Raw genomic sequence first — 27355 nt, 5'->3', positions numbered from 1 at the left:
GACAGATGAGCAAACCAAGGTCCAGGAAAATAAAAAATTGAGCCACCCAAGGTCTAAAAGCCAGACTGACTCCAGCCAACTGTGGCTGGATGCTGTTGTCTCACCTTTGTGTTATGAAGCCCTTTTTTCATCCTCTGTCTAGTTTTCCAACAAGGTTCTGTGGCTAAACCTCACAAATAATCGCATTAATCTGAGAATACTGTGCCAAAAAGAACATTGTGAATAACATTAATGGTGAATGTATTACACACAGAAATCTAAAAACACCTCTGGTGTTTTCTCAGAAACATTTTTACAGTTCTAAAGTAATTTTATAAATCTTGTTTAAAAGGTAAAGAATTACTATTCTGAAGAGCTTGAGCAGAAATCTAGATTTCTTAAGAACTCAACTAATTCTCACCTCCTTCATCTGCAAATGGCACAAGTTTTCCAACAAGTCTTGAAAATTTTACCTCTTTTGTCGACAAAGGATGAAAACCAGAGGTATGAAGAGGCTTTGCATTTCAGAAAGTCCATCATGGTAGAAAAAGAACCTTCGTTGAGGGAGAAACATTTGCCTCAGAAACAGGGATGAGTAAACAGATAGATTACTCTAGAAGCCCATCCATGGGGAGTCTCAGACTACTCCCACCCTGGGCACTACTCCTTTAAAAAGCACCTGCAGGGCCTCTGGGGTGAGCCACTGGCCCACCAGCATCTGCAAGGCACCATGGGAGACACAAAGGTGAATGAGAGATGGCCTTTGCCTTCAGTGCCATGTTACCTATGAACAGATGTTGACTTGCTTCTTTTTGGAAGCCTGCCCATAACAGTGAGAATTAGTAGGTTTTAGAGAACTCTTGTAGACAGGGCCTTGCTCTGTCACTCAGGCTGAAATGCAGTGGCACCATGTCAGCTCACTGCAGCCTCAACCTCTTGGGCTCAAGTCATCCTCCTGCCTCAGCCCCTCAAGTGGCTGGGTCTACAGGCGCGCACCACCATGCCTGGCTAACTTTTGTATTTTTTGTAGAGATGGGGTTTTGCTGTGTTGCCCCGGCTGGTCTCGAACTCCTGAGTTCAGGCAATCTGCCCGCCTCAGCCTCCCAAAGTGCTGGGATTACAGGCATGAGCCACCATGCCCGGCCTACCCTTGTATATTTGTCCAGGAAGAGACTCTTGAGTTAGCTGGTGTGTCCCAGGGCCTGTGTTCCACAGATGAGCCTGAGGCCGGGGAACGCCTGCCCCACTCAGGGGAACCTGGGGAGTGCTGTGCTGGTGTGGGCTGAATGACATCCCCTAGAAGGGAATGGTGAAGCCCCAATCCCTGGCACCTGTCAATGTGACCCTATTTGGAAACAGGGTCATTGCAGATATAATTAGTCGAGTTAAGATGGGATCATATTGGAGTAGGGTGGACCCCCAATTCAATGTGATGGTGTCTGCATAAGAGGAAGGAGATTTGGACATGAAGACGCATATAGAGGAGAGTGCTGAGTGAAGACAGACATTGGGAGGAAGAGGTGTGTGAAGACGAGGCAGAGTGCAGCGATGCCCCTCCAGCCAAGCAGCACCGGGGCTTGGCCCGAGGGGGAAGGAAGACTTCACCCCCAGAGGCTTCGGAGGGAGCATGGCCCTGCGGATGCCTTGGATTGGGACTTCTGGTCTTCGTGACTGTGACAAAGTAAACTTTTGTTGCTTGGAGCCTCCCAGGTTGTGACCTTTGCTAAGGCAGCCCAAGCAGACAAACACACTGACGCTTCCTGAAATTCTGGAGGCCGCTCCCCTGGGGGGCAGCGTTGCTTCCTTCTGTCAAATGTGGGGCCTGGACCTGGGCTTGCTGGGCCCCCTCCTGTTCTAGGCCACTACTCCTGCTCCAGAATCCCAGATCCTCCCTGCCTGTCCCGGCTGATTCATGATCCCAGCCTGGCTTCACCACAGGGCCTCTCAAAGAGCCCCGAGACCTGCTCCTGGGTTTCTGGAGCGCGGCCATCACAGATCCCTGCTGTGTCTGTCTGACAGGCTCCATCAGCAATAGGATACAAAAGTGAATCCTCAGCCTCCCCAACTTACCATGGGGCTAAATCCAGGGGGCCAGACAAGTGCCCAGGTCTGTGGGCCCTGGTCTGCTATTTCCAGGTCCCCAAGAGGCTAGTAGAAGGTGCTTGTTCCCTGGCCCCGAGGGAACCCTTGACCTCAGCCAGCTCCAGCCCCTGCAGGAGCCATCTCCATGCCTCTAGACCCCCAGTAGACACCCTCCTTCCAGGATCTGACTCCGGTTGTTAGCCTGGGCCCCCAGGATGAGGACAGTGTAAGGAGCCAGGAGGTTGGGACCAGACTGGCCTCCTAGCCTAGCTGAAGAGATGGGTCCTGGCCTTATGAGCTCCCATATGACTGGAAGCTTCCCCAACCCTGGAACCACAGACAGTTCCTGGGCTCTGGTCCTCTCAGCCCAGTGGTGCAGGGGCGGCCCATCCTGAGAGTTCCTGCGGGGAAGAGGGGCCTGTGGGGACAAGGGGATGCTACAGTGAGTGACTTTGAGGACAAGGACACACACAAGCACAGCCCTTTCGGCCACCCCATGGGCCCTGGGTTGCCAGGAGCCTTACCAAGCCCCAGCTTGCCTGGTCCCCACCTCCATGAGGCCACGAGCCAGCCTGGCCGCCCTGGAGCTAGTGCTGGAGCCCATCACGGGATCTGCTATCCCACCATGCAGCAAGAAGAGGAACTGAGAGCCAAGACACTTTTAGAGCCATTTGACCGAGTGTCTGCCTGTTGAATCTAATGATGTAATTTGCATATCTTTATTTTCATTTTCTAGGGGTTGGGAGCTGTGATCAGCACAGGCTGCTTGGCCAGGAGGAATGACTGCAGGGTGGGCAGACACAGGTTGGTACTCAGTGGAGACCTGAGTGAATGAATGAATCAGAGCTGGGGAGGACGGGGGGCATGGGAGGGAACTGCCGTTGTCAGAGAAAGCCCAACACAGACCTTCCTTTCCCTGGGATCATCCCTGGGGTCACCAAACCTCCCCCGTACACCTGAGGAGAGACCACCTGAGTCACAGCCCGCAGAGCTCCGGCCAAAGAGCTGGGATGGATGGGCTGGAGCCAGTGGACTTGGCTCAGGGTCTAATTTCCTAGTCGTGACCACTATCCCCTCCTCTACGCTGAGCCTCAGTTTCCCAATCTGTAAACCGAAGGGGATGCTCTAGACCAGGGATCCACAAATCATTAACCTCTGGGCCAAATCTAGCCAACTGCCTCTTTTTGCAAATGATGTTTTGTTGGAATGTGGCCATGCCCATTCACTTGCTGCTGTCTGCAGCTGCCTTTGCGTCACAATGACAGGGCTGTGTAGGTGTGGCTGGGAGCTTATGGCCCACAAAGCCATGCGTATGCACCACCTGGCCCTTTACAGCAAGGCTGGCCAGCCCGACCTTCCACGAGCGTTTCTCAGCGGAAGCAGTGTCACCTCTGAGTGGGTATTTAAGAAATTGCTTCTGGTGAGTGTAGGTCAAGCTCATTGCAAGACAAGTTCCATGCTATAAAAGCTACTTTTCTTTAAGTTCTTATACTTCCACTTTATATTAAAGTTAAGACATTATGTTTATCTTTTGCGATTTGGAGCATAGATAGGTGATCATCTGTATGGGTTTCATTACAGGGCATTAGAGAGCGTCTGTTAGAAGAGCAGGGCATTGATTTTGATGCAATGAGGCAGTTTCTTTAGAGGGCCCACGAGGCCCTAGATTCCGCATCAGCTTTAAGTGGCAAAGCCACACAGCTATTTCAAGAGCACAGCACTAGAGGGCAGCATAAGCCCATGAGTGCAACGCCAGAGCTCTGCGCCCTGGGCACCGCCGCTTCCCGAAGGCTGCAGGACTGGGGAAGGCTTGTGCCACCAGGACCTGAGCACTCAGCAGGAGTGTCAGGCCTCTGGGCCTGGGTCAGAGCTGATGGAGAGACCGTTCCAGCATGTGAGACGCTGGAGGGAACTGAAACCCACCTGCTGCACATGCATACTTCCCCGGTGGTTTTGGAAATGCTCTTGTTGTCAAAGATGTCCCTTCACACGGGGCTCTGCCTTCCCCACTGCCCTCCTGCACAGGCACAGCACATGTGTGCACACTAAGACTTCCAGGAATCTGTCCATCTAGCTGAACTGATTTTTCCCCCCAATTTATTCGACATTAGGATCTTTCGTGCGAGCCCGCGTGTGTGTCTAAACTTAGCCACATCAGGAAGCTGACACTGGTAAGTGATGACTTAACATTGTGGGAGATGTCCTTCTACACACCTGTGGGTTCCATGGATTCAGCCAACTTCGGATTAAAAAACAGTTTTATGTTTCTTTGTTTTTTTTTGTTTTTTGTTTTTTTTGACGGGTTTTGTTCTGTCACCCAGGCTGGAGTGCAGTGGTGTGATCACGGCTTACTGCATCCTAGACCTCTGGGTCATGCAATCCTCCTGACTCAGCCTCCCGTGTAGCTGAGGTCACTGGTGCCCGACCCCACATCCAGCGTTTTTTTTTTTTTTTTGTAGAGATGGGGTCTTACTTTGTCTCCCAGGCTAGTCTCCAACTCCTAGGGTCTAGTGACCCAGCCTCCCAAAATGCTGGGATTATAGGCGTAAGCCACTGCACCCTGCCAGGATAAAAAATACTTTAAAAAACAATAAAAATCACAATACAACAATGAAAAATAATACCAATTCTAAAAAGACAGTATAACAACCATTTACTTGGCATTTGCATTGTATTAGATATATATAAGTAATCTAGAGATGATTTAAAGTACACAAGAGGATTGTGTAAGTTCTATGCAAATACGACACTATTTTATATCAGGGACTTGAGCATCTGCAGATTTTGTTACCATGGGGGTCTTGGAACCAATCCCCCTCGGATACCAAGGAATGACTGCATATATATATATATTTTAAGTTGGGATTCTTGTTCATTTTCAAACCATCTTTGCTAATATGGCAGTTGGCTTCCCTGGGCAGGAGGGAGCATGCCATGTGCAGACAGCATGCCCCTCCCCTACACAGGAAAGAGGGCCTGTGTGCACGGAACTGCATCCGTCTCTAAGGGGAGAGCGGGGCTCCTGGATCCTAGACACTCTGACACAGCATCCATCACACTTGTGGGCCGGTTTGCTTCTCCTGATCTCTAAGTCTCTCTCAGGCTCCCTCTTGTCCGGGGACACTGTGACAAAAGCAGCTGGAATGTTCAGGATTAACAAGACAGTCTTATTTAAGAAACAGATGCAGAGCACCCTGAAACCCCTGGCAGTGCCCGCGTTGCCATGGCTTTTCCACTCAGCGTGGAAGACCATGAGTCGTGCATCTCCCTGCTGGACCATGGCTTCTGGAGATGGAGGATGGCAGGGCCAGGTGTGATGTTGTCCTCCTGTCCAGCTCCTCCTGCATTGTAGGATGTCTGTCATAACCTGGTCTTAGAAGCCAAGAAGAAATGCAAACCTGTCCCAATAGGCCTCGCTTTGGCAACAGCCAGTGAACAGGTAGATTAACGTCACCACTCAGGCCATTTGGTCACCTGCTCACCAAGGTGCCACCACCACTGACACCAGGCTTATGAGGGTTTCCATCCCCATTTATGATGCTACCAGGAAGCTGATTTTAGCCACAGCCATTTAAAAAAACAAAACCTGTTGTGTCCTTGTAGATCCAAAGTGTTGGAAATCTTCCCTTTTTCCCCCAGCCTCGCCCACCTACCATTTCAATGTAACCTCCCAAATTCTTCCACAGAGCATTGTTGAAGGCTCTGAGAATCTTTCAACCTCCTCCACAAAGCCCTCCAGGGCCCCCGTCACAGCATTCCCTTGGCATTTTATTTGTGGCTCTTGGACACCGTTGTCCCCACCCTTCATGACAGGCCGGGGACTCCTGGCACTGGATCCTTTTTGCGTAAAGTAAGCTGATTGAATTAAGCACGCATCACTGAAATGCTTTGCTTTCCATGGAACCACACTGCCTCTGAATGAGAATCTGCTGCTCTTTAAATGCTCACCGACCCGCCGTCAACGAGCTGTTGTGAGGTTCTACCAGGAATCGGAGGCGTTATGCACAGACCTCCTTTCCAGCCTCTCCTCCCTGCCCCTTGTGGTCAATGCTGCTTTGGATGCTCCCATTTCCTGGGGGCCCGGAGATCCCGCTCACCTAGAGGGGATGGGCCCTGCTGGCTCTTCTCTGTGTCCTGCCTGGCCCTGCCATCCTCCTTCTAGCTGCAGAAGAGGGGAGTCTGGGGACTAGGGCCTGCCTCCTTCCCCTGGGGCACAGCTTCTGCCAGGCACAGCGCCATCCCCCAGGTCACACCAGTTCTTGGATGTCCCCATCAAAGCCTCTTGTTCCTCCTCTGGAAAAACTCTAAGTGGAAATTATAAAAAGTTCTCCAGAAGGTCTAGTCAGAAAAGTCTTGAAAAGACGAGCGGTCCCTAGAACTCCAGGCCAACCCCAATCTCTCTGACCTCCCTCCTCTTGTCCTCTTCCCTAAAACCACAGCCTCTCCCCTCTACTGGCACCTCTTGTCCCCATGAAGCATCCTCTGGGCCCCTCCTCAAGGCAAACACATCAAGGAGTTGCCTGGGGCACCTGCCTTCTTCTCTGCTGTTCCACCCCACTGGGTGGCACCCGATGTGCTCCTGCTTTCAGCTGCCCTTCCCGCAGACGCTGCTCCTGCACAAGGCTCCAGGGGCCTCCCAGTCACAGCCTCTCCCCAGGCAGTGCCAGCTCCACCTCACCTGACCTCTCGGGCCCAGACCCATCCCTCTGCCTTGGCCTCCTCTGGCCCGAGCCGCCCAGCACTTTGCCCAGGTGGCCTTCCTGGCACCCTGCCTCTCCCTCCTTCTCCACGGTTGGACCCGAGCTTCACTGCTAGTCGCAGCCCATGGGGTGCTGCCTGGGGTGGCCGCTCTGGAGGCCCTGGCTGTCCCTCTTGGTCTTTCACTATGGGCCCCCCACCCTGAGACAAGTGACCTCCCACCCAGGGGAGGCTGGTCCCTCCTCCTAGCCAAGTCCCACTGTTGTCTTGTGGCCAGAAAAGGAAAGGAAGTGGCCCCCAAGTCAGCAGTGGGGGTTTATGGACCACATTTGTAATTAACTTGAAAAACAACGCATGAGCTGAACGCCTGGTCTGGTGCTTGTCCTGGGTTTTGAATGTTCTCTTCACCTGTCTCAGAGAGTGACATTTATACAAACTTCTTTCTTCTGTGTCCTTATGAACAGTATCCAAAATGGGACCTTAGGTCTGCCTCATCTGAAGCATTCGCAGGCCAACGAAGCCATCTGCGCGCAGGCCCAGGTGTGTCTTGCAAGGCGGCAGCAGCCCTGCCTCTGGCTGTCAGCTTTGCCCTGGTGGGAGGGATTCATTTCTCTCTCCATCTAGTGAGTTCCCACTCAGTTCATCGCCTTTGAAAAACAAGCTCCCTGGCAGTGGGGCTTTTAGATTGAGATGTAAAAGTTAATTGTTTTATTGAACTTTAAAGAAAAGAACAACCACCACCAGCTAACAGGAAGCGCTTAGGAGTTGCTTGCTAATTTATTCTTATAACGAGTTTTGATTAGATATTGATTGTCACGGGCTCCAGGGGGAACCTCCATTCGGCCCCTCTGGAGGGTGGATGGAGTCAAGACTACATGCACTTCTCATTTTGTAATTAATTCATTTTTTAAAAGAAAGCAATCAGGAAGAATCTCATGAAGCTGGAAATCTCCCCAAACAAAATATTCCCAAAGGCTTTGCCAGGCTTTCTGGTACTGAGTGGGGCAGCTGCTGGTGCTCAGCGCAGGCATTAGGTTAATAGAGTCGTGCTTAATCCTTCTTACACTGGAAACTTGTTTGTATTCTGAGCAAAGGACTTCCTTCCCTAACCTCTAAGGGGAAGGATTCGCCTCGTTCCTTCCCACCTTCTTCCCCTTTGATGGGATTACCGCAGCTTGGGAAGGATTCATTTCACCTAGCCGGCTCTGACGGATGGCCTTTTTGCAGGGCCAATTCAGAAACATCCATGGCCGGAGGGAAAAGCTCACATTTCTTCTTGAACAATTATTCCTCACAGGTTCCATTTCAGTCCTTTTTCAATAGAGATTTTCCATACATTTCCAGCTCTCAGATTCTCTCAGTAAGATGATCGTTCTTTCAAACAGAACTCTAAGAAAGAAGGCAGATTCTTTTTTTTTTTTTTTTGGTGTCCTTCATTTTGTTAAATGTGCATTTTTGATCTATCTGAATTAACACAAGGGGGTTAATTCCGTACCAACTACCAGAAAGGAGCCAATATTGTGGCATGGCAGAAGCTTGTACTGTCAAGTTGCCCGTGGGAATGGGAATGGGAATGGGAAGAGTTGATGTATTTTTCACCATCTTCTGCATAGGGTGTAACCTGAAGGTCCCTGTGCTGGCCCTGGGAAGGGGCGCGAGGGCTTGTCCCTTCAGGGACTTTGCTCCCCCCTCGGTCTCCCCCAGGGCCTTCCTCCTTGCCTGCCAGGGACCCTCCTCATGCCCCTTGTCCGTGCCTCCCCAGCTGCTCTCTATCCCATGGCCCCCTTTTCAATGTATGCCAGGCACTTTATGTTTTGGTTTGTCCAGTCTCTGTCCGCACCCTCTTTCTCTAAAATCTAAGTGCCCTGAGGGCAGGCCCAGAGCTGAATATACCCCCAAACAGCCCCCGGCCCATTGGCAGCCACAAATGTCTGTTGAGCAAGCGAGTGGTGGGTGAGAGCAGATTGCTGGTGCGCTGGCTGTGGACCCTGGAGAGTTCTTTGGCATCTATAAGCCCCGGTCCATTCCCCAGGTAACAGGGGACTGCTTTTTTTATTTTTTATTTATTTATTATTATAATTTTTTTTTTTTGAGACTGAGTCTCTCTCTGTCGCCCAGGCTGGAGTGCGGTGGCGCGATCTCGGCTCCCTGCAAGCTCCGCCTCCCGGGTTCACGCCATTCTCCTGCCTCAGACTCCCGAGTAGCTGGGACTACAGGCGCCCGCCACCGCGCCCGGCTAATTTTTTGTATTTTTAGTAGAGACGGGGTTTCACCATGTTAGCCAGGATGGTCTCGATCTCCTGACCTCGTGATCCGCCCACCTTGGCCTCCCAAAGTGCTGGGATTACAGGCGTGAGCCACCGCGCCCGGCCCAGGGGACTGCTTTTAAGGTGGCTCCAGAGCCCACCACAAGACCCTGCTGATTGAAGGAAGGATGAGGGATCGCTTGCTCCCCTCCTGGTCTGCGTTATGGTGGCGGAGGAGGCTGGCCAAGGGGAGCAGCCGTGAGGGTGGTGCCAGGGAAGGGGTCCCTGAGTGCAGGAGGTGCCAGAGCACAGAGTCCCCTCTGTGAGGATGTCATTCACAGAGGAGGGCCCCAGAGAGCTGGGATCAACAGGAGCGAGGGTGTTTCTCAAGCACACTGTGAAGGCCCAGCCTCAGGAAGTTCTCTTGAGGAGCCTTGTCATGGAGGCCACGTGCGTCTAGATGCAGCTGAAGTCTCATCTCCAGGGGAGACTCCTCCGTGGACCCAGGCACCCAGCACACCCTTGCGGGCCCCACCCTGCAGCACTGTCACTCCATGGCCTGGAGTCCTCCATGCCCTACAATTGCAAGCCTAAGTGCGCAGGTGCTGCTCACTTTCTCTCTCTCTCTCTCTCTCCCCCCCCACTTCCTTCCTCCCTCCCTCCCTCCCTCCCTCTCTCTCTCTGTCCCCCCACTTCTTTCCTCCCTCCCTCCCTCCCCCCTCTCTCTCCCCCCCACTTCCTTCCTCCCTCCCTCCCTCCCTCCCTTGCTCTCTCTCTTTCGTTTGTCTGTCTTTCTTTCTTTCTTTCTTTCTTTCTTTCTTTCTTTCTTTCTTTCTTTCTTTCTTTTTCTTTCTTTCTTTCTTTCTCTTTCTTTCTTTCTTTCTTTCTTTTTCTTTCTCTTTCTTTCTTTTTCTTTCTCTTTCCTTCCTTCTTTTTTCTTTCTTCTTTCTCTCTCTTTCTATTTCTTCCTTCTCTCTCTTTCTATTTCTTCCTTCTTTCTTCTTTTCTTTCTTTCTTTCCTTCTTCTTTCTCTCTCTCTCTTTCTTTCTCTTTTTTTTTTTGATTGACAGAGTCTCACTGTGTCACCCAGGATAGAGTGCAGTGGTGCGATCTCAGCTCACTGCAACCTCTGCCTCCTGGGTTCAAGTGATACTCCTGGTCATTTTCTCTCTGTGTCCCTGGAGTCCAGCAGAAGAGTGGTGCCCAGGAGGGTCCTTCTGATGCTTGTCGACTCAGCACTTGATGGGGCGTTGGGACTCCGCAGCAGCAGCGCAGGGTGCCTGTGTCCCTGTGCACCGTGTCTGCGCTCACGGACAGGAAAGGTGGCCGGAGACAGGGGTTGTGCACCCTTTCAAACACTGCTTTTACTTTTACCCACATCAAAATAGCATGGAGCCATGCAGCAGGCTGTTCATAGGTGGAATGTGTCTGCTCCACAGCACACCAATCACAGACAGTTCTCAGGCCACAGGTAGGCCATCGGGTGTGGCTCGGCTGGGACGGTACACCCCAGTTTCCTGTTCTAGATTTTAAATAAAAATGGTTTTTTTAAAAGATTTTTTTTAAAAAAGTGGTAGATTTTAAATAAAAATGGTTAGAGAAGAGAAAGGCAGACAAAGTACCTATGTTATGTGAACTCTCATTCAACAATTGCTGGATGCATGCTGTCTCCGTACCGGGCACTGTTGGGTTTGAGAAGAGTATCTGGAAACTCAAAAAAGATGCATTTACACAGCAGACACTGCCTTCCGGTCATTAGGAGATGCTCTGCAAAGGAGCAAACATTCTAGGGTAAGTGAAACAAAGCCACAGGGCTGTGTTTCTCAAAGCGAGAGCCTCTAGTAGCCCACGCTTCTTACATATCCCCTCTCTATTACATCCACACAACACATTTCTGTTTCATATAAATATAAAAGACTGTATGTTATACATAACATACAAATATATGTAAAAATGGAATATTAAATTACATATGTGTGTCAATATATCATCATATACATTAGGTAAAACACACAAACACATACATTCCATACCAGGGTCATACCTATGTGCTTAAATACATGCTTTAAGACGTTTACTTGTAAAAATGCTATTGTGTAGGCTGCAGTAATATTAACCCCGCTGAACTTTACTTTTGAGATATGATGATGGACCCCTATATCCCAAAATTAGGAGCCAATAGATCTGTGGTCCAGCGCATAGACCCCCAGTGTAGACTATTTTAGTGTTGGGTGAGCTTGTCTGTTATCCTCGGGAAGCAAAAAGCAAAAGTCCAGCATCACTGGGAGAAGGGAGGTGGGATGGGATAAAGTTGCATATCAGAGAAGGCTTCCTGGAGGAGGTGATATGAAAGACCAGGAGGAACTAGTCAGGCAGTGAAGGAAGGAAAAGGCATCCTGGGTAGAGGGACCAGCAGGGGCAAAGAGCCAAGGAGAGGGTGTTTGCTGGGTTCTGGGGACTCCAGGTGGAGGAGGGTAGTTGGGACTTGGCAAGAAGGAGGAAAACAGCGAGAAAGGAGGGTGCAGAAGTCGAGAGTCTGGATTCCTCTGTCATCTTCCCTGAAGGCAGTAGATGCTGTGAAGGGGTCTGAGCTGGCAGCAGTGGCCATGAGGTGTGCTTTAGATGGGCTATCTGTGGCGGTGTGGCCACTGTCCTGGCAAGGTCACAGCAGCTGTGGCAGCAGAGCTAAGGAAGAAGACCAGGGACTGAGCTTTGGGAGTCTCATGGGAGTGGAGGGAAAATACTTATTTCCCAAAGATTAAGAATATGGAACTGATGGGTTCAGAGAACAGATTGGAGAGAGGAGCAAGACAAGGATGACCTGCAGGTTTCTGACAGGGCAGATAGTGGGGTGGACCCTTCCCTTAGAGTGGGGGCCACTGAGGGAGGACCAGGTCTGGGCCAGTGGGGAAGAGCTCAGTTTGGGACACATGCGTTTGGGTATGTTGGGGACATGGCAGGGAGGCTGCCGAGCAGGCTGTGGTCTGTGCCATCTGGAGCTCCAAGAATGGTCTGGCTGAAGCTTCGGGAGTCACTAGCCTGGGGACTGATGGCAGAGGAAGACGTGGGAGGCCCTGGTGTGCCAGGAAGAGCACGGGGCATGGGAAGGGGCCAGGCTGAGGGTTGAGCCCAGAAACCATGCGACCTTCCCCCAGAGAACGTGCTTTCTCCTGCAAAAGCCCCACTTCAGGTTCTGGGGTGAAGCTGCCACAGCAACCAGTTCCCTGCAACACTGCAGCCCTGAGTGGCTCAGCCTCTCCCCCAAGCCCCTGGGTTTCTCTAGCCCACCCTCCAGCCCCCAAGGAGCCTCCCAGTGCTGGGTCTCTTCTCCTGCCCCCAGTAAACTATGGTGAGAATATTAAGCCTGAAGATCTCCCCAGATCTGTTTCCATACCTGGTGCACTGAGAGCAGAATCAAGGAGTTACAGGTCACGATAGAGATCTCTCCTTGTTTATCCTGTAAACAGAAACCCACAGGGACCCAAATACCCCACTGATCTCTTCCTCTGCCACCCCCTTCATTTAAGCAAATAGATAACAGTGATTCCAAGTCTCCAAGAGAGTGGAGGGGAGTACTGGGGCTTTGCCCTTTTCTAAGATAGCTTTGGGTGTCTGGAACACCCCCACCCATTGGGACTTGATTCCTCTTCTTCCCTGGCACCCTGCTTTGCCAGGCCAGGCTGAGCCCTGCACCCTGGCTGTGAACTAAGGAAACCCACAAACCTGTAATATTCTTCAGAGAACAATAAAGACATTTCTCAGTCCCTGAGCGATTACAGGACTCTATTTGTGCATGAGAAATAATCAAATCCTCCTGCAAACTAATGAATTTGGAGATAAAACTGATGGGGAAAATCGGGAAGGAAATGCTGGTGGCCTAGGAAGTCAGCTGAATTCCCTGGAGGACACTCATAGGGCGGGTAGGGTCTTGGGCTCCAGGCGGTCTCCCCAGGTTGTCCTCTCTCCTCTCCATCCCACAGTGGCCTGGGACTCAAGTTCTCTTTTACCATCAGGAAAGAGAGAGCGGTGAATCCAGCATTTGCCGTATCAGGAGGTCTCTGGGCTGCACTCCCCAGGACATGGCCACACCCTCGGTCTGGCTTCATCATGTCGCCCCAGCCCTAGCCCTGTTGAGATGCACTGGAGACCACCTCACACAGTGCAGTTTGACTTGTGCTTAACTTTTTTTTTTTTTTTCCCACAGTTGAGTCCCCTTGGTGAAAGGCCAGTGTGGTTGGCCAAGCCTTCCCGCTGATGGACCAGGTCATCCACGAAGCTGCCTCAGGACTAAGACAGCTCCCAGCGGAACAGCACCTTGCCAGAGAAGCTCTGGTTGGGGGACTGCACTGCTGGGCATCAGCACCCGCTGCCATTACCCGTGTGTGTGTGTGTGTGTGTGTGCGTGTACCATGCACATGTGTGGCTCACTCGGAGGTGAGAACCCAGCATGGGCATGCTGCTGTGTCTGCACTTGTGAGACAGTATTTTTCCTTCAAAAGTCAGCCAGGGGTAGAAGATTCATCTGCCTATAGACTCACAGTTCTCATTGGTGTCTTGGGCCTGGGAAAATGCTTTACATGTTCAAAGGAGACAGAAATCACCACTCTGCAGAGCTTCAGGCCCTGTGTCCGCCAAAGAGACTTGCAGAGCTACCCATCCTGGCCCCAACGGCAGGAGGGGCATCCTCCCTCCAGACCATCAGCATTCTGCATCATCTAACAGTGCTGGCATAGCAGGCCTCCCTACTTTCCTGCAAAAGAAGCTAACACCTGCCCAGGGTGGCTACCAAGGGAGGATCTGACATTCGAGGTGTGGATGAGGCACCTGCCACAGAGGTGGTGCCCATTCAATGCTGGGTTCTTCCCTTGGAGTTCCTTGGTTATGTTGACAGCCACCCCATCATGGTCTGGCCTGCTCGTACCTTCCCATCTCCCTTCTCATGACTTGTCTTGTAAGATGTCCAGTGCTTATTATAAGGTGGGTGGATAGGATGAACTTCATTTATTAATTTTGTATTACACACATTAACAACAAACAGAAATCAACCAGAAATATTTCATAGTCCTTGGTCAACCATTTGGATGGCTACAGAAGTCCAGTGGAAAAGTCAAGGTCAGTATTTGTTCTGCCTTAAGAGAAGGTAACTGACCTGCCCATGACCACAGGGATAGGAAGGAGCTGAGCCAGGTACAGGCTTTGGTCTGGGTGCTGATGGGTCCTGGGCTCTTCCCAGCACAGAGATTAGAAGGGAGGGACTGTGAGGCCCTTAGCCATGCACACAGTGGACTCTCCTCTCATCTTTGGCCATCTGGACTGGACAGAGAAGCTGTGATGAACTTCAGAGGGAATGTTGTGATCACATCACTCATTTATTACATGAATCATTCATGTATTCACTCCTTCATGTATTCACCACCTGTTGAGTGATGTCTTCTGGGCAACCAGTACTGTGGAAGATGCAAAAGATAGAAGATAAGACCCCTATTCCTAGGGACCTTGCTGGCATTGCACAACTTGTCTTAAAACCTCTGTATGCTCACCTGCTTTCCAACTTCATAGAGAAGAGCACCCCCTTTGAACCTGTAGGATAAACCCTTAAACCGAAAAGCACCCTAAAGAATTAGAACTTTCAAAATTAAATGGACACACACATTCACACACATTTTATTTTGCAACTTGCTTCAGGGTCCTGCAGCAAATCTTAATAATAAAGGCCGCACCTGTGTGATAGAAGCTTTCTAAACCCCACATTTATTTTAATCTTGGGACACCAGTCTGGTTTTCTCCTTCTTCCAAAGCACATTGTATTAGTCTGTTCTCATACTGCTAATGAAGATACACCTGAGACTGTGTAATTTATAAAGGAAAGAGGTGTAATTGACTCACAGTTCCACATGGCTGGGTAGGCCTTAGGAAACTTACAATCATGGCAGAAGGCACCTCTTCACAGGGTGGCAGGAGGGAGAATAAGAGCTGAGCAAAGGGGAAAGCCCCTTATAAAACCATCAGATCTCGTGGGAGCTCACTGACTATCACGAGAACTGTATGGCGGAAACTTCCCCTGTGATTCAGTTATCTCTGCCTGATCCCACCCTTGACAAATGGAGATTATTACGATTCAAGGTGAGATTTGGGTGAGGACACCAACCAAAACCATATCACACATATTAAAAAAAATGGAAAGAGATCATCGATATTTCAGAGTGAGAAGCATTATTCAATCTCTAAGTCTTAGCAGACCAGAATTGAAACAAGAGAACACCAGATATGAAATTCATGCTGCTGAATCTCAGTTTAGGAAGCCTCAGTGTTTCCTAAGGCTGTCCAAATCCCACTCAAACACCAAGCCATTACAGGGTGATATGCTTTGTTGTACCAAGTCTTGTTCTCTGCTCACACCACTGAGTGCATACTGAGCTCCTCAACGGCACCTGCAGTTGCCATCCTCGCCATCCTCTCCTGCTTCAAAGCTGGCCTCCCTATGTCAGGTTACTGAGAGGTAAATTACTACCCAGAGGAAGATTACTGACACTCTTGACAGTTCCCCGACTCCTTAAAGTGGGCTCATTTTTATCTCATAGGAGACACCTCTATGTGAGATGATATTGATAATCGGGCTGAAGGGCTAAAGCTTTGATGTTGGCTGCAAGTACAATCAGCAGATGGAAACAGGTCAGTTTGTGGAATGCCAGAAAGTTGTGGGTCATCTCAGCTTAGTCCAAATTTAATGCCTAACTTTGAATTCTACCTAGAAAAAAAGTAGTTTATGAAGTGAGACTTAATAGGTGGGGAAACACCATTCTAGATTCTCTGTGCTGTTTAGCGCAAAGATGTTACCAGCTCTCCTTGGAGGCTTCCTATGGTCAGCAAGGCCAGGACAGAGTTGCTGAGCATGGATAAGGAAGCCCATGCTGGGAACATCCCCAGACTGTGCACGAGGTTTCAGCCTGCGCGTGGCTCTGTTGCTTAACAGCCCTGGAACCTTGGGCACGTCAGTTCCCAATTCTTCTCTTTCTCCACATATATAATTAAGTTCCAACAATGGTATTTTCTTGTTTGATTAATGCCAACACAAAAATAATGATGATCAATTTTTACTAGGTGCCGGCATTGTTCTAAGCATTTTGCATATAATATCAGTCCTTACAATATAACTGTCTGAAGTTACATGATTACTTCCATTTCCCTGCTGGGTCAACCGAGGCCTGGAGAGGTTACATAACTTGCACAGGGTCACACAGCTAGTAAGTAGTGGAGTGGGGAAGCATCCAGGTGGTTTGGAGGGGTCTGTAAGAGCAGTGATGTGTGAAGGAGTTGCAGGTGAGGTGAAGGGCATTTTTGAATTTGCATCTTATATGTCTATCTGCACCCCTCCGCTTCTCCTCACTGCTCCCTCAGCTGCCCGGATTCAGTGTGTCCTCACTGCATAGACAACTGCGGGCTCTGCTACCTTCCCAAATCACCTCCCCCTTGGGTAGAAAGCCATTGTTCTAAGTCGGCTTCACTGCAGAATCCAGTCCCAACTATGCCTTTGGCAAAAGACACCTGAGCAAATTCTGTCCTTTTTTTCTTCTCTCGTCTGAGGACAGTGGGCTTGAACCTAGCCAACCTACAGGGGTCAGCTTGCCCTCAGATCCAGGTGCACTGCCCTTGTAGGCAGGACTCAAGGCTGTTTGTGACTAGCAGTATGCGTAGGCCACACGAGACCTTTCGAAAGGCAGGGACAGAACATTTTTACTTACAGTGAGCGTTCTGATCAGCTGGAGCTAAGTGTTTTCCTGAAATGTCATTCCAACGTGGTTAGAAGCTGCCTTGAGAAAGCTCCACTCATTCCCAGATGTGCTCGTGGGCTCAGCGAAAGTCAATATTGCTCACTTGGAGACTCAGAAAACCAGCCCAGAAATGAAGAGCCCTTGACGCCGAGGCAGGCCTGCTCTTGACGGCATGCGCCCTGATCCTGGCTATGTAATTGGAAGATACTTCATTTTCTGTGGCTATCAGATGCTTTTGTGAAGCCTCTTCCCCGTCTGCCTCTCAGAACTCTGCTTTTTACTGCACTATATGTGGCGACAAATACTGATGGACAGAGATTGTGGAAGCCTCAGGATTCTTCTTGGCAGAATGTTTAGGAGCCCCCACCTTCCTCCCGCTCATCCTGTGGTTGAGTTGAACATGCCTGACGCTAAAGACCTGGAGCGGGCTGTGCCCTGAGGCTAACTTCCTGATCATTTAAAGGTGCTCACTTGGCAACGCACGTGCTATCAGCCCTCGAAAACTGTCAATACCTGATCTGCGGCAATGCCGTTCTCAGCTCTTAAAAGGCTTATGTAAGGAAATTCCTTCTTCAGCTGAGGCCTCCAGGGAATACAATTTTATTTGTACAATAAGGCTCAGAAAATAAGCTTAACTTGAAGCTGTGCTACCCAGTGGCTCCCACCTTGGCCTTGATGGACAACTGCAGTTACGAGAGAAATAGCTTCAGGATGCAGGACCAAATGGTCCCTCCACCATCCTTACCGACCTGGGCTTTCTGATTTACCTGGCTGCCTGGTGAAAGCCTTCATCACCAGGCCTTAAATCAACCTAACAGGGGGAGCCTGCCGACCCTACCTCATGCATCTTCATTTGTCTTTTGCAAATAGAGGAAGGCAGCAGAGTCGCCACCTTCTTCTTCCATCTTCAGCAAGTGACTTCAGAAACCCCAAAACAAAACTTTGTGATGGAAATTCCTCATGTAGTTTCTGGGCTTGCATTGCTAACAAGAAATATGTTTATCTGTGCTGTCTGGATTGTTGACTCAGGGAAACAAAAATAATTCTTGCCTCTATAATTTTTTGTCATTCCTCATTTCTAATCTTTTGGAAGCGAACTGCTATTCCCATTACAAATTGAGAGACTAGGGGCTGGGCGCAGTGGCTCATGGCTGTAATCCCAGTACTTTGGGAGGCTGAGGCAGGCAGATCATTTGAGCCCAGGAGGTGGAGACCAGCTTGGGCAAAATGACAAAACCCTGTCTCTACAAAAAAAAAAAAAAAAAAAGAAAGAAAAATTAGCAAGATGTGGCACACACCTATGGTCCCAGCTACTCGGAGACTGAGGAGGGAGGATCACTTGAGAACAGGAGATAGGGTTGCAGTGAGCCATGATAGTGCCTCTGCACTCCAGCCGCCTGGGTGACAAAGTGAGACCTAAACAAAACAAAACAGAACCTACCGACAACAACAAAAAAAGAAAGATTAAGGGTATTTTTATTTTTTATTTTTCTTTATTTTTAATTTAATTTAATTTAATTTTAAGTTCTGGGATACATGTGCAGGATGTGCAGGTTTGTTACACAGATAAACGTACGCCACGGTGGTTTGCTGCATCTATCAACCCATCACCAAGGTATTAAGCCCCACATACATTAGCTATTTATCCTGATGCTCTCCCTCCCCTCACCCCTGCCCCATGACAGGCCCCAGTGTGTGTAGTTCCCCTCCATGTGTCCATGTGTTTTCATTGTTCAGCTCCCACTTATGAGTGAGAACATGTGGTGTTTGGTTTTCTGTTTCTGTATTAGCTTGCTGAGGATAATGGCTTCTAGCTCCATTCATGTCCTTGCAAAGGACATGATCTCATTCCTTTTTATGGCTGTATAGTATTCCATGGTATACATGTACCATATTTTCTTTATCCACTTATTTTTAATGGGCTTTGGGTTGATTCCATGTCTTTGCTATTGTGAATAGTGCTACAATAAACATACATGTGAATGCATATTTATTACAGAATTATTTACATTCCTTTGGGTATATACCCAGTAACGGGATTGCTGGGTTAAATGGTATTTCTGTTTCTACATCCTTGAGGAACTGCCACACTGTCTTCCACAATAGTTGAAGACAGTGTACATTCCCATCAACAGTGTAAAAGCGTTCCTATTTCTCCACAGCCTCACCAGCATCTGTTGTTTCTTGACTTTTTAATTATTGCCATTCTGACTGGCATGAGATGGTATCTCATTTTGGTTTTGATTTGCATTTCTCTAATGATCAGTGATGTTGAGGTTTTTTTCTCATACGTTTGGCGGCCACATGAATGCCTTCTTTTGAGAAGTGTCTGTTTATATCCGTTACCCACTTTTTGATGGGGTTGTTCATTTTTTTTTCTTGTAAATTTGTTTACGTTCCTTGTAGATTCTGGATATTAAACCTTTGTCAGATGGATATATTGCAAAAGCTTTCTCCTATTCTGTAGGTTGTTTGTTCACTCTGATGACAATTTCTTTTGCTGTGCAAAAGCTCTTTAGTTTAATGAGATCCCATTTGTCAATTTTTGCTTTTGTTGCAGTTGCTTTTGATGTTTTTGTCACGAAATTTTTTCCTGTGCCCACGCCCTGAATGGTATTGCTTAATCAATATGCAAAAATCACAAGCATTCCTATACACCAACAATAGACCAGCAGAGAGCCAAATCATGAATGAACTCCCATTCACAATTGCTACAAAGAGAATAAAATACTTAGGAATACAGATAACAAGGCATGTGAAGGACCTTTTCAAGGAGAACTACAAACTACTGCTCAAGGGAATAAGAGAGGAAACAAACAAATGGAAAAACAGTCTATGCTTGTGGATAGGAAGAATCAATATTGTGAAAACGGCCATACTGCCCAAAGTAATTTATAGATTCAATGCTATTCCCAGTAAACTACCATTGACATTCTTCACAGAATTAGAAAAAATTACTTTAAAATTCATATGGAACCAAAAATGAGCCTGTATAGCCAAGACAATCCTAAGCAAAAAGAACAAAGCTGGAGGCATCACACTACCCAATTTCAAACTACACTACAAGGCTACAGTAACCAAAACAGCATGGTACTGGTACCAAAACAGACACATAGACCAACAGAACAGAATAGAGATCTCAGAAATAAGACCACACATCTACAACCATCTGATCTTTGACAAACCTGACAAAAACAAGCAATGCGGAAAGGATTCCCTATTTAGTGAATGGTTTTGGGAGAACTGGCTATCCATATGCAGAAAATTGAAACTGGACCCCTTCCTTATAATGTATAGGGATATTTTTAAATCCTTTTAATTTATGGTTAAGGATATCACAGCTAATAAAGCATAATAAAAAGGCATAAAAAGAAAACATTTAGAATCACATGCCTTCCAGAACAAAGATCTTCATTTTACAGAGATGTTTTGTTAATAAAACCACTTAGTTGATAAAAAGTAGGACACAGAGACATCTGTCTTTTAACAGAACAAGACAAGGTTTTTGTCATTATGAAATTAATATGCATACCTCAGAGCTAAGAACTCGGGACTGACTGATGCTTTAAAATAAAACCAAAAAAATGTCCTGCCTACAAATGCTGTTTTCAAAGAAGGGCTGTTGTGATTGGTGGAGAGGAAGAGGGGTGCACTGGGGTTTCACAGGAGACGCCGATGGGGTGCAGTCTGCTTGCTGTGTCCCCAAGAGTGGGCAACCCCAGTGGATTCCTTGATCCCTGTATTTTCCCAAATTGAGACCTAGATGATTCACTCACAGGAGGCTGTCACCTCTAGGGACTCATGTCCAGTTTTCCCTTGGAAGTGAAGTTCCTTCACCCTGCATCTGGACCCCAACCCTCCTGCTCGCCCGCCGGCTGCTGATGGAGACTTCACCTCTTGCTGTCACAGACGCTACACAAAAGATTTCTCTGTGCCCGCTCTGCAGTGCTCCTTCTCCAAAGAAAATGTCTGGTGATGAAGCTGGTTTCTTTTCTTCCAAGTGCAATTTCTGGCAAGTGTCCAAGGATCTATCTGCTGTATAATTTCAGCATGACAACTTAATCAGCATTTCTCCACTGCTGGTTTGTTTTTTATTTATTTATTCTTTTTTTTTTTCCAGCATTTGAAAAGCTTGTTAGCAAAGAGAGAGAAGAAAAATGAGAATGTCTGGAGCCTCCTTTCTGTTACATCTCTTTGAACGGAAAAACAACCATCACCAACCCAAGTCAGCTCACTGAGCTTCTGTCACCGCGACTCCACAGAAATGAGGAAGAATGGAATTTCTCCTCCAAACTTTTCCAAATTAAATAATGAGTTTCTGTAGTTTCAAAAATATGACTCACTTCAATGAAGAAAATTATAAGTCCCTTCCTATTTGCTTTTCTTAGAGCTTTCTGATGTATGTGAGTGAGAAACACCCACCTCCGCCAAACCAATAACAAGGCTGAGTATTTTTCTTTGCACAAAATTTCTTGGTGTCTTTCATTTGTACTAATAATTAGGAGACCACCCTAGTGAGAATCCCCCCATGACAATGGGGAGTAATTGCAGTGAGAAATTAGTCTAAATTAGTGAAAAGACAAATTTTGCCATTTGTCAAATGACACATCAATTGTTCTTTCATCATCATCCGTCTTTTAAAGTTCAAGTCTGTCAACCAGAAGAAAAGGCATTAAACACCAGACAAAAGGAAAATAGACTTCTGATTCCCATTTCCATTCTGCATGTGAGTTCTGAAGGAATCCTGCCATCACACATGGGCCTCGGGGGCATCCTCTAGCGTCCTTAATTAAGGGGTCCGAATGTGTCTCCACAGTCATTCTTGGCATTGCCCAAAATGACTGTAGCTCAGGAGAGAAAATGAAGAGAAAAATGAACATGCATTATCCAGAGATGTGTGTGTGTGTGTGTGTGTGTGTGTGTGTGTGTCCCTACAACAGCTTCACTTACAAAGTAGTTGAAAAAGAGGGGCTGCTTCATCACAAGCAGACAGCTTTCTGCAGGTGTCTATGTAAACTGATTTATACAGACATCTGGTTTATACAGCCCCAGGGAAGCCAACTGGAAATTCCAAGATCTCTTTTTGCAAAAGTTTGGAGGCAGCTTCACAATGTTACAGTGGAGTTTCTAACCCTGGGCACTGCTGAGGTCTTGAGCTAAATCATTCTGTGTTGCAGGGACTGTCCTGGGCATTTTAGGATATTGAGCGGCGTCCCTAGTCCTGCCTACTAGATTCCGGAAGCACCTTCCCTGCCCCCAGCTGTGACAAGCAGAGATGTCTCCAGACATTACCAAATGCTCCCCATGGAGCAAAATCACCCTGAGTGAGATCCACTGGAGTAGAGACCTGTGTGGGGACAGGGTGGTGGCATTTGTGTGTGTGTGTACACACGTGAGCTGTGCGTGTTACTGGTAATGGAAAATTGAGCTTAAGTGGCCAACATATTTAGAGAGTCCTCGGTGGAGCTGACCCCAGCCATGTGGTACTTTTCTAAGGGATGCTGGTTTCATAGTAGAGCAGGTTCTTTGTTTACCTTCTGGAAGAGACGGCAGCCAGTGTCTTTAGGAAAATGAGTCTGATGCGTTGTGGAAAAGCTGTCCTCACCTGGCTTTCAGGGTTTTGCCTTCGGCCCCATCTGCCCAGCTGTTCTCCTGGACCCCCTCTTGGTCCTTAAGGTTCTTTGGGACAATATCCTAAAATGCACAGGACAGTCCCCATAACACAGCATTGTCCAGGTGACAGGGAGTGTGGATTTGAGAAGATGCCTGTGGGCCACTCTCAAGGCCCTGTGTCTGCGCCCGTAGCCATGTCCGCAGGCTGCCTGGCCACTCTCCTGATCACTGAGGGAGAGTGTGCCCGGAACGGGGTCTGTGCCTTGCTCAGGGTCCTTCAGTGGCCTGTTCCCACTCTCCCCATGGCCTCTTTAAAGCTAGAAAAGGCACCATTTGCAGGGAAAGAAAAGCCACACTGAGCAGCTCCCTCTGCCTCCCCTCACTGTGATGCCTTCTTGTTTTGGGGACCAGTTGCAGGGACTCAAGGGGAATCATCAGTTCTAGCCTTAAAGAGCAAACTTTATGGAGTACAGGTTGGGTGGGAGAGGCTGTGAGTAGGCGGGCACAGGGGTGTCTCTGACCTTCTCATTGATCTGCCCACCACCCAGCCACAGAGCACAGACAGCCTGCTCTGCCAGGCATCCAGCCAGGTGCTGGGACTCGATGGATGAAAGAGATGGTGCCTTCTCTCCAGCGGCTTGAGGTTGAGTGTGTGGGTGGGGGTAGACCATCAGCAGCGCTGTGGTCAGACACAGGCCTATGGTGGAGTTGGAGAGGCAGATGGCACTGGCCTCTTTTCTCTCAGGAACCCTCCTGGAGATGGACACATTGGGCAAGCCTGTTCAAGTCTCAAGGCCAGGTTGAAGAACAAGCCAGCAAGGGTTTCAGAGACCACTCAGGCAGCAGGGAATGAATGGCAAAAGGAGGAGGAACTGTGAGCCGGGGGTTCCACCCTATCCCTGGAAGGTGACGTGGAGCCGAGGCCCCAGGTGGGGTCAGCCCACTGTCCTTGACAGGACCAGCTTGGCAGAGCCTGGAGCTTGTGGAATAGAGAAACTGCAGTGGGCTGTATGCTTCCCATGGGGAAGGTCCTGCAGAGCCCTACAACGCTGCTGTGGAGTCCCCGTGGCGGTTGAAGGAATAGCTCGGCTCATGGCCAGAGGGTGTGGAGAGGATGTGAGCATGGGTGAGGACGGATGTGACCAACCTTACATACTTTTGTAAAGATGACTTCCTTACCCCTGCTCCCCAGAGTGGACGTCTGGGTCTTCCTGGCGTCAGAGGCATTGTTCAGGGGTAGAAGGCAGTGGGAACTGGCATCCCAAGCAGCTTCAGCAGGCCCTGTGTCCCTGGGCAGGAGGAAGCTGGAGGGCAGATAGATGCTGGTCCAGGGCTCAGGCACTGGTTGCCAGATTAAGCACATAAAAATGCAGACAGCTCCATTAAATATGAATTTTAGATAAGTAACAAATGGGACATATTAATACTAAAAGTTATTTATTGTTTATCTGAAATTCAAATTTCACTGAGTGTCCTTTATTTTCTCTGGCACTGCTCCCAGACACCCTGGCTCAGCTGAGCCCAGGGGAGGCCTCCCACTGACACCTGCGGGTGGGGACAGGGAGGTGCTGGCGGACGGGGAGGTAGAGCCCATCCCAGCCCCACTCCACCTGCCTGGGACAGTCATCTCACCGCTCAGCTTCTGCCGTTGAACAAGGAAGGCTTTCCCGAGGCCCTTTCTGGAACTATTGATCTATAATTTAATTACCTTTTGCTTTTTACCTGTACCATCTGTTACAATAAAACCCATACAACATGACTGACGTCGAAACCTTCAGTGAAGCTGCCAAGTTTTAAAATCTCATACCATTTTCCCCGAATTGTGTTTTTAAGGACAACAACAGAGAAACAAAATGAAATATGTTTTTTCCCTGTAAAACTACTCAGGAACAATCTGTATCATGAGTTGCCAAGAAGAAAATGAAAATATTCTACAATCCTTTTTTGCAAAGAAAAAACTATCAGCCTTATGTAACATGTGACAATTACTAAGCCCAATAGCCAACCTGAAGTAAACAATAAATGTCAGCCATAATAGTTGCTATTATGATTTTGTAAGATGTTAATGTTTTCTAGAATACAGTTTGGTAAACTCTGGCCTATCCTTTTTCCACTAAAACAATATTACTATTATAAAGAAAAAAATTTTTTGAATTAGTCATTTGTTTGGTCAAGATGGCCTAGTGAAATAAATCAACAAGTTTAGACATGAATGCTTTTAATCCTTAAATTTTCAGTCAAATAAAATGTGGAAGCCATGGCCACCCTTACTTACAGAATGGAACGAGAAGAGAATGTAAATGGACAAGAAGCTGGACTTCCCCTGAGTTGAATAATCCCGAACACCTAGTGCTTCCTCAGAGTCCTCAGGCCCATTCACTGAGGTCAGGAGCAGTCGTGCTGAAAGCAGCAGGCATTTGACTACACTTCTCAGGCTATCTGCATTATACCAAGATGAGCACTAGCATTAGTTTATAGCTTAGGTGTATAACTTCAGAACGAAAAGAGAACTCCCCTCCAAGTCTAATGGGGTCAAACAATGAAGTAAATCACAAATGGCAATTGTTGAGAGATTGTACTGTGCACAATACTGCCCTCGTTTCACAGGTGGAGACCAACCTGCCCTCCTGCCTGCACCTGGGACCCTCTATGTGCCTCCGTGCTCCCCCCTCACTGGCCTCATTGCCTTTGCCTGACCCCCTTCCACACAGCAGATATGTTACCAGTGGAGGGTGTCCAAGTTCTTGGTGTTTTGAACCAAAAAATTGGACAAAACGCACAAACAAAGCAAGGAAAGCATGAAGCAACGAAAGCAGAGATTTATTGAAAACGAAAGCACATTCCACAGGGTGGGGGCGGCCTGAGCAAGGGGCTCAAGAGCCAGGTTACAGAATTTCCTGGGGTTTAAATATCCTCTAGAGGCTTCCCATTGGTTACTTGGTGTATTCTCTATGCAAATAAAGAGGCTGAGGGAGGTTACAGTGATTTACTTGGTGTACACCCTATGTGAGTGAAGGAGATGTTTCCTGTCATAGCTGAAGCAGAATTACAAAGTTCTATACTCAGTTGTAGAAAGTTGGGGTTCTACTGTTTCAGTTCTAGGAAGCCCTTAGGCTCCCTGTCCACAGACCCTATTCTCCTGCTTCAGCTATGGGGGTGTTTCTGGAATGCCGAGCTGGTCAGCCAGTCTTCCTCCCTCCCCACACATAATGCCCTTGTATTTCTCTTACGAGAAGATTTGTTAGTAAGCCCCTGAGCTGGGAATCTGCCTGGGCCCTCTCCCTACCCTCCTGTGTCTCATTTTCCCTCCCTTTCTATGCCCCAGTTGCAGTGCCCTCTGAGCCTCTGCATCCTCCACTCTCTGTTCTACCCCAGGGACTTAGCATATGCTGTTCCCTTGGCCAGGATGCTTTTCCCTTCTTGTAGCTGATAATCTGATAGGGCTGCCATAGCAAAGTATCACAGGCTGGGGGCTGCAACAACAGGAATGTGCCTTTTCACTCTTTTGGAGGCTGGAAGTTTGAGATCAAGGTGTGTGCAGGGCTGGTTTCTTGAGTCTTCCTTCCTTGCCTTGCAGATGGCCACCTTTACTCTGTGTCACCACGTGGTCTCTCCTCTGTGTGAAGCCTGTGTCCTAATTTCTTCTTCTTATAAAGACACCAGTCAGATTGGATTAGGGCCACCCTAATGACCTCATTTAGTTCTAATTCCCTTGTTAAAGGCTCTCTCCAAATTCAGCCACTTTCTGAGGTCTCAAAAGTATGAGTTTTGGAGGGAATGCATTTGAGCCTTTAACGCTGCACTGAAGCCACTCTGCCTCCAGCCCTGTAACCCTGAGCGGGCTCTGGCTTCTGGGAGGCATTCAGAGCACCACGCCTCTCTCCTTCCAAGCATTTGGCAGGTTGGATTTTTGTGAAGTGAGTGGGATTGCATGTCCCCCTTAGACTGTAGTCTTCGTGGGGACAGGTCCCGGATTAGTCTTCCTGTCTGATCCATTCCTCATTTGTCACAATTGCCAGCACATAGTAGGCACTTAATAGGAATCTGTTGATCCAATTTGATAGCGCAACAGGGTGACTATAGTCAATGATAACTTAATTGTACATTTTTAAATAACTAAAAGAATGTAATCGGATTGTTTACAACACAAAGGATAAATGCTTGAGGGGATGGAGACCCTATTCCTCATGATGAGGTCATTTCACATTGCATGCATATATCAAAACATCTCATGAATCCTATAAATATATACACTTAGTATGTACCCACAAAATTTCTTTTAAAATTTATGAAAGAGAATCTGTTGAATGAATGATTTCCTGAAAGTCTCTCCTCCAGCAAAGGGCAGACCAGCATTTCACTCCAGGTTTCCTTTCAGGACATGCAGCCTGCTCCCTGGCATCACCTCACCACTGGGAATGACTGGGTCCATCTTGCTTTCCAGGGCGTAAACCCTGAGCAGGGTGCCAACTTGCCGGGGAGTGCGGCGTGAGCCATGCCAGTGCAGGGACGCTGTTGCTCACCCTTTCATTCATTCAAGCATTTACTAGAGCCACTTTTCTTCCAGGGGTTTTCCCACCAGATCAGCAGTTTTGAGATAGTCAGGGACATAACCATGTCCTTGGGAGGCAGCAACCATGGAGACCTCACCGTCAACACACAATATGCGCTGTAGTCAAGCTCATTCCAGCAAAGCTGCCTCCGGTAAGGACTTTCCCCTGTAGAGGGTACATGCATTTTGATTTTACCTGTCCTCAAACTGACCCTTTTTTATAATAGTGAAAAACACAGCCCTGGGTGGAGATTTAAGATGCTAATGAGACATGCGACGTATGAGCAAGCATGTACAGCTACAGTGCATGTGCACCCAGAGGAGCACCCAGAACATGCTAACTAGCAACACCTCTCCCACCCCCTTATGAATAATCACAGAAGACTCCCATAAGGGATCTTCCCATTAATGGT

General features: G+C 48.2%; 1 annotated feature.

Annotated features, from left to right (window-relative positions):
* Positions 3790 to 3869: a silencer, noted in NCBI's record as "silent region_2930". NCBI's record gives its function as "represses an Ori minimal core promoter by ATAC-STARR-seq in GM12878 lymphoblastoid cells {active_cell/tissue: GM12878}" and the evidence as "EXISTENCE:reporter gene assay evidence [ECO:0000049][PMID:35858748]".

This window comes from Homo sapiens, chromosome 10, assembly GCF_000001405.40.
Source record: "Homo sapiens chromosome 10, GRCh38.p14 Primary Assembly".
NCBI classification, from domain to species: domain Eukaryota; kingdom Metazoa; phylum Chordata; class Mammalia; order Primates; family Hominidae; genus Homo; species Homo sapiens.
Note: the sequence above shows the minus strand (reverse complement) of the source record. Positions and strands in the feature narration are given on the sequence as shown.